Source organism: Homo sapiens, chromosome 8 (genome assembly GCF_000001405.40).
Source record: "Homo sapiens chromosome 8, GRCh38.p14 Primary Assembly".
Taxonomy (NCBI): domain Eukaryota; kingdom Metazoa; phylum Chordata; class Mammalia; order Primates; family Hominidae; genus Homo; species Homo sapiens.
Genome location: NC_000008.11, coordinates 11,834,222 through 11,842,374, shown reverse-complemented (window position 1 = coordinate 11,842,374; position 8,153 = coordinate 11,834,222). Strand labels below are relative to the sequence as shown.

General features: G+C 47.0%; 1 protein-coding gene across 11 annotated transcripts in view; it reads right to left on the bottom strand.

The window, feature by feature from the left end:
• FDFT1 (farnesyl-diphosphate farnesyltransferase 1) overlaps window positions 3,077-8,153 on the bottom strand; it is a 43,717-nt gene continuing 38,640 nt past the window's right edge. For all 11 annotated transcript variants that reach the window (NM_001287742.2, NM_001287743.2, NM_001287744.2 and 8 more), the window contains one exon: window positions 3,077-3,987. In NM_001287742.2, coding sequence (NP_001274671.1) covers window positions 3,766-3,987 — 222 coding nt within the window. In that variant the 3' untranslated portion in view covers window positions 3,077-3,765. The remainder of the gene's footprint in view (window positions 3,988-8,153) is intronic.

Sequence of the window (8,153 nt, the reverse complement as noted above, 5' to 3'; positions counted from 1 at the left end):
TGTTAGAAACACCTGCCTTGCAGTGTTTGTGACTGGGAAAGAGCTCAGTGTTTTAATACACCTCAGATCACCACATTGATCATAACTTTGTCACCTCAGTTCAATAGTTTCTCCTGGATTCTTGTCCAAGTGAGATGACAGGTGGACGTAACAATGCCTTTTCAGTCTTTACCTAGCCTCTCCAGAGAATCACTCCAGAATAGAAATTAGAGTATAGGTAGGCAGTCCAACCTCTGCATTTAAAAAAAAAAATTTTGAGATGGGAGTCTCTCTCTGTCACCCAGGCTGGAGTGCAGTGGCATGATCTTGGCTCACTGCAGCCTCCGCCTCCTGGGTTCAAGGGATTCTCCTGCCTCAGCCTCCCGAGTAGCTGGGATTACAGGCACCTGCCACCACACCTGGCCTAATGTTTATATTTTTAGTAGAGATAGAGTTTCACCATGTTGGCCAGGCTGGTCTGGAACTCCTGACTTCAAGTGATCCACCTGCCTTGGCCTCCCAAAGTGCTAGGATTATAGGCGTGAGCCACTGTGCCCGGCTGCCACTCTTTTTAAAGAAAGCAGTAATTTGCCCTCTTTTATTGTGCTTCAGCCATACTGAAGTGGTCCACAGACCAGGAGCACGGCCGTCACCTGAGAGCCTGTTAGAAATGCTCATCAGAGTGTCAGAGGGCCAGACCTCTGAACCAGCATTTGCATCTCCCAAGACCCCAGGTAGTTTCCCAGGTACATTCAAGCTCACAATACCTTTCCAGCTGCTCCCTGATTAGAAAACTGCATGAGAATTTAGGAATGCAACCTCTTGGGCACCCCATCAGACCTACTGTATCAGTCTCTGTTCCCAGCAATCAGGCAATTCTGATATAAAGTCTGAGAACCACAGCCTTAGAACTGTTTCCAAAACTGCCAAGAATAACCTAGAATGTTTGTTAACATGCCTGACTCGCCCTCTTCCTCCTATACACACCCGAGCCCCTGGGAAATGGCTCAGTAGATGGAAGAAGGGGCCCTCCCTGCACTTGCCCACAGGGATCCGGAAGTTCCCATATGCAGATATAAAGCTCTTGCTCCCAAGCATTCTAATTGTTTATGGTCCTAGATTCACATGGGTCAGAGGCTCCTCTGAGGAAAACAAAATATTGCACCATTAGGTCGGATCCAAATAGACTGTATGCCAGAGATGCTATAAAATTATATTAGAAGTGGGGAGTAGAGGGTAGTGTTGCCAGAGTTACCAAACAGAAATACAAGATGGCCAACTACTTCTGAATTTTCAGTTATGCAAGTTTGTTTGTTTTTTGAGACAGAGTCTCACTCTGTCGCCCAGGCTGGAGTGCAATGGCGTGATCTTGGCTCACCACAACCTCTGCCTCAACCTCTTGAGCTCAAGGGATCCTCCTGCCTCAGCCCCAACACCCTCCGAGTAGCTGAGACCACAGGTGTGAGCCGCCATGCCCAGCATCCCCTATTATATCTGGCAACCTTAGTAGAGAAGATACTTAGAAGGAAAACAAGCTTTCAAAGAGCTTCAGAATGGAATGAGAGCGGATACCTTTCTACAACTCAGTGAGTAGAAAAAAGCACATAGCTTTATAGATAGAAAAAATCTGAGATCACCCAAACCACACAGCTCAGGAAGTGGTCCCACAGGTAATGACCAAGTCAGGAAAGAAGATTTCCACAGGCCCCACTCAGACCAAATCTCTTTCCAGCAGGTTGTTCTGTCTTAACGTGAACTTTGGCAGAATTAAATCTTAGATTTCAACACACAGATTTTTAACAACCTACCCTGAAATCTCAAACCAAGTTTTGAGGCTTTAATTCCTTGGAAAATACTGTCGAGTCTAGCTCAGTGGTCCCCAAGCTTTTTGGCACCAGGGACCGGTTTCATAAAGACAATTTTCCCAAGGACAGAGGGAGGAAAATGGTTTTGGGATGAAACTGCCACCTCAGATCATCAGGGACTAGATTCTCACAAGGAGCATGCAACCCAGATCCCTCACACGCGCAATCGCACCTATGAGAATCTAACGCCGAGTGGAGCTCACGTGATAATGTTCACTCACCCGCCGCTCACCTCCTGCTGTGATGCCCGGTTCCTAACAGGCCACGTAACAGAAGGTTTAGTGCCGGTCCTAGGCCTGGGGGTCGGGGACCCCTGGTCTGGCTGTATTCCATGTGGCAAGTTATCTTGGCTGGTGACAAATGAGTCCAGGGCTAAGCCTCAAATGAACCAATTAACTGAAGTCTCCCTGGGCCCAAACTAATTTTGGTGTCAGTGGTCACAGCAAGAAAGTGTGCTTACAACAATGCAAATCCAACGCTGCAGCTCGAAACAACTCAAATTCAATGATTAAGCCACCATCCACGATGGGCTGCAGAAGAGTAGACTTTATGAGTACCTGTAGCATTAATGGCTTCTAGAAAGTACCGAATGCCCTAGTACACCAATTCTCAACTCGAGGGTCCACAGGCCTCCTTGCTGCACTGAGCACCTCAGTGAGAGCACATCACAAGCTCTGCTGCACTGGAGTAGAGAGGAAGGTGAAACCCCGAGCAGAAGTACTGTTCTGCCCCCAAGCCAATCACCTGAAGACAGCTTTTGCCTTTCTTAAGACCTGAATATATAAACTGATAACTTTAGAAAACAAAAACTGCTGGGGGAAATTTTTTTTTTTTTTTTTTTTTTTTTTTTTTTTTTTTTTTTACAATTTTTTCCTTTTTTTGAGATGGAGTCTCGCTCTGTTGCCCAGACTGGAGTGCAGTGGCGCGATCTGAGCTCACTGCAAGCTCCGCCTCCCGGGTTTAAGCCATTCTCCTGCCTCAGCCTCCCGAGTAGCTGGAACTACAGGCACCCGCCACCACGCCTGGCTAATTTTTTTTTTTTTTAGTAGAGACGGGGTTTCACCGTGTTAGCCAGGATGGTCTCGATCCCCTAATGTCGTGATCCGACCGCCTCAGCCTCCCAAAGTGCTGGGATTACAGGCATGAGCCACCACGCTGGGCCATCAACTCCATTCTTGAGCTCCATCTTTTCCACAGTCAGGCAGGCTTTCAAGCGAACTGTACTTGACAAATGCAGAGCAATTAAATTCTTTATTATAAAAATCTCAAAAATGTCCACCTTTACTGGAGACCAATCTTCTAAAAGGTCAAAAGCAATCCTGCTGTTTCTCTCTGAAAGCTAAACTCCTTTAAATGAGAATACGAGAATACCCAGAATTTTATTCCCAGCCTTTGTGTGGAAAAGGCAGTTTGCATTCTTAGGAAACATCTAACTGTTACCTAAACCATAAATATTTCTATCTACTCCATTCAACCCAATTAAAGAAAACAAAATGATGAGAAAAATAGGAGCCGAACAGAAAGAAAATTCACATCATTTTCTACTATTACGAACATTCAAATGGTGCTTCAAATTAAATACTTTTAATTATCATTCTAGCCAGGATCATACTAAGTAGGATCTCATGACAGTCACATATGCAGCGACTTCACCTAAACCGTGGCACTGAATGCTCTGCCATGAGCCACAAGCAGCACAGTGATCATCACCCACAAGGACAGGTTGCTGGGATGAGGCACCCTTTCCTTTCATGTTTAGGTTCTTCTCACCTGCATTTCACTTTCCTAAAGGTCCCAGCCACACAGCGTTCTTTTAGGGATTAAAGTAGTAGGAAAAAAATAAAGAGAACACAACATCCATCCTTAAAGAAAAAAAGTAAATCCACTTTATGGTGGACTTCAGCTATGGACAAATTTGGGATCAGTGTTCTCCAGTCTGAACATAGTCTTCTGTTACCTGGGAGAGAGTGGTCAGGTACTGCCAGCTCAGGGCAGCCAAAAGCATGACAAACGACAGGTAGATGGGGGAGTAGTGGCTTCGGGAAATCAGCTGACAGTTGGGAAGATTCTGCGTCCGGATGGTGGAGATGATCTGCCTTGTTTTGCTAGAAGATGGGTCTGAGTCGGGGATTCTATGATAAATCTGTTAAAGACACAGGAAAAAATGATAAGTGCTATGTGCTTTACATTTTCCATGGCTACTTACAACAACCCTCCACTGGCAGGTATTTTATACCCATTTTACCAATGAGGAAAGGGAGGCTCAGAGAACATGAACATAACTTACCCAAAGCCATCCCAATGATAAGGTGGGGATGTCAGCCCCAGCTCATCTCAAAGCCTGTCTTCCTGAGCAAACAGGAGGCACAGGTGTGCATACTGCACCCAGAGGCCCTCGAGAGCAGCGGCTGAGCCACAATGATCTTCACATCCCCAGCACCTCACAGTGCCAGGCCCAATAAACGTCACCATAGTTCACGTAGACAGGCACAGACTAACATGACGAAAGGGAAATGCTGGAAAGACTGGGCAAAAGCAGCTTAGAAACAAGATGGAACACGCAGTACAGACCACAGCTTGACAAAGGGGGACAGGAACAGAAGCAGGGAGCCGTATGAACCACCCTGGAGTCCTCCCTGTGCCTCCCTCCCCACTCCTCCACAAGCCTCCCAAGTATGTGCAGAATCCATCTCTTCCCCTACATCCCTAAAATTACTGCCTGAGATTAGGCCCTGAGTGCCTCTCAGATGAGCTATCTCAGTCTCCAACGTGAGTCTAAGCTTAAATTCCCAAATCTACCTGTCTGCTCTACACTGTCACCAAGGAGATCTCAAACCTCTGCTTGATGCCTCAGTGGCACCAGCCCTCTCACCTGGAGAAAAAAAGCCTGAGCTCTGTAATGTGTAGCGCAAGGCCACCCATGGTCCAGACCTACTGCACCTGTCTAGTGTCACCAGCCCTTGCCCACCTCCCTCTCTACAGTCTAGTAACAGTTGCCGGGCCAGGCACAGTGGCTCATGTTTGGAATCCCAGCACTTCAGGAGGCTGAGGCACGTAGACTGCTTAAGCTCAGGCGTTTAAGACCAGCCTGGACAACACAGTAAAACCCTGTTTCTACAAAATGTACAAAAATTAGCCGGGCATCGTGGCATGCACCTGTGGTCCCCCAGCTACTTGGGGACTGGGGTGGGAAGATCACTTGAGCCTGGGAGGTGGAGGTTGCAGTGATCCGAGATCATGCCACTGCACTCCAGCCTGGATGACAGAACAAGACCCTGTCTCAAAAAACAAACAAAAACAAAAGAACAACTGTCTACTGTTGTTTCGCCCATGCGATGCTGCTGCACACCTCTGTTCCAGTCTCATACCACTCCTTCTCTCTGGAATGCGCCTCCCACGTCCCTTCAACTGGCTCCTACCTAGGCCCCCAAGTCTCAACTTCAGGATTATGCCTTCTAGAAAACCTGTCTGCAGCTCCAGGTTCAGCCAGGAGCCACCCTATTGTACATACCTTTACCTTTCCACTTACGTGGAAATGGACCATCTGTAGTTTTCACCCTGACTACACCGCACCTACTTACTCACCTTTTTATCTCCAGCCTAGCCCTGTGCTGGCACACAGCAAGCGTGCATCCCTGGCTAATTTTTGCATTTTTAATAGAGACAAGGTTTTACCAGTGTTGGTCAGGCTGGTCTCAAACTCCAGACCTCAAGTGATCCACCCACCTCGGCCTCCCAAAGGGCTGGGATTACAGGCGTGAGCCACTCCACCCAGCCAAGACTTTTCAATACAAGCATCCATAAAGTAAAATATATAGTGATGAGATAATTCTATTAGAAGTCATCCTTCTGCCTGCCCATGTTGCTTTACTGCTTGTCTTAGCCTTCCTCCTAAAAGCAGAACCTGAGGCAAAAGCTTGCATGCAGCCATTTATTTGGAAACGAGTGGAGAAGTGAAACAGAAGGCAGGAAGGCCTATCAAGGATGTGTTGAGTTGGCTTGATCTTGAGGGACCTTCAAGGAGCCTTATGAAAGGTGGCCCTGAGGAGCAGAGAGGTGGCCCTCACCTCCTCTGGGTTGTGGGGACCCACGTGCCAGGCAGTTCCTGCAGCTCGTCAGAAGCCCAAGGGCAGGAAGCGAGAGGTCTCTGGAGCAGAAGGCAAGGTCCAGCCCTACTTGGAAACTGGTTGCTACAGCAGTGGCCGAAGGCCAAGATGAGTGGCAGTGACACACAGGGTCTCACACACTACTCTTGTAAATGACCTGAGTGCCCTGATGCCATCAAAAGCCATAAAATAGGCATTCACTACAATGACCCTGAGAATAGTTTCTCAGGTAAGTAATGGTTTTGGTATATTGTAGATTTTTTTTTTTTTTTAAGATGGTGTCTCGCTCTGTCACCCAGGCTAGAGTGCAGTGGTGCAATCTTGGCTCACTGCAGCCTCCACTTCCCAGGTTCATGCGATTCTCCTGCCTCAGCCTCCCAAGTAGGTGGGATTACAGGCACCTGCCACCATGCCCAACTAACTTTTGTATTTTTTTTTTTTTTTTTTTTTTTTAGTAGAGACAGGGTTTCATCACATAAGTCAGGCTGGTTTCGCACTCCTGACCTCAAGTGATCCGCCTGCCTCAGCCTCCCAAAGTGCTGAGATTAGAGGCATCAGCCACCATGCTCGGTGACATTTCACTTTTGAAAATTTAAGACTTACCTTCTCAGAGCAACTGTACAAGCAATGTACAAATAAAGGATGATAACATCAGCACCAAACTACACACTTATTCATTCCTGGGTTAATTCTGTGGCTCCTATGACTTTATTTCTTCATTTTACTTTCTCATCTACTTGTACTTTGTTAGCCTGTTGTACTTATAACCATAAGCCATCTTACATCCTTTTGGGAAAAAAGATTTACTTATTTGGAATCAATCGCTGGCACCCAAGTGAATATACACAACCAACAAAAACCCTTTTAGAGAACTCCAAGAGCACTTCAATATGCCCTTCCAGGAGATAAGTAAGGTGAATAAATTAAGAGAAATCTTGGTTGTGACAGTCCCCGGTAATACAATTAGTGGCAAAACTTTTGAGTCCTTTGATGATCATTTCTAACATATAAGCATGACAGCACAACTGGAAGAGCTGCAGTCACTGGTACTCAGACGTGGACTTACCTAAAACAGAGCCGGTAAGGCCAAAGGGACCTTCTAGATGCTTCGTTGCTAGACCAAACCCCACTCTCCATTTACCTGAAGGCACACAGTAGGTTTCTGCAAACTCAATTATTCAGGTCTTAAAAACCTACTAGCCTCAATCAAGGAGTTACATCTGCTTGTCAAGGACAGGTCATAGCCGACTTTTCATCTACATGCCCGGCATAAAGTTGAAGCCAAATACTTGAGGGGTTTGAGAAAGGGCCTTCACCCTGTTGCCCAGGCTGGAGTGCAGTGGTGCCATCTCAGCTCACTACAACCTCCACCTCCCGAGTTCAAGCGATGCTCATGTCTCAGGCTCCGGAATAGCTGGGATGACAAGTGTGCACCACCACACCTGGCTAAATGTTGTATTTTTAGTAGAGACAGGGTTTTGCCATATTGGCCAGGCTGGTCTCGAACTCCTTACCTCAAGTGATCTGCCTGCCTCAGCCTCCCAAAGTTTTGGGATTACAGGTGTGAGCCACAGTGCGAGGCTTGATGATTAAATGACACAGGCTCCTATAAATGTTTACTAGACTGAAATAAGCTCTTGTGCAATGCTGTGCTACATACAGCAGCTCCTCTGTGAGTCCATGTGGTACTTCCACGTCTCAGCAGTTCTACTTACAACTGCGAATATGGAATCAGCTTGATCATCATTTAAAACTCTTGTCTATGAACATCTAAACTTCCATTAAAGCAAAAACATCATTTGGGAAAAAAAGGCAGATTCTGATTCGATACGTTTGGGTGGGGGCTGGATGTCTTAATGGGCTCCCAGGTGATTCCTGGCAGCTGCTGGCTGGGGACCATCCTTGAGCAGCTAGGCACCTGGGGCTCAAAGAGCCGGATGATTCTCTGACTTAACCACAGGAGGGCACAGGAAGTGTGCAGAGACACGAACAAGATTCTCCCTGCCAAGGAATTCACTTTGGCAGAGAGGGGAATGGGGGTTTCTGGCCGTTTGGCTGAGCATTTATTTCTATCCCAAAATAGCAGGTTGATCTTCTCCCCAGCTGACAAGCATCCAGGCTGGTTTGAAGCAGAGGCTGCTCCAGAGTGGGGTGAGGGCCCTGCAGTGTGGCCAACTGCTCGTGAAGACCTGGGGCTGCACTC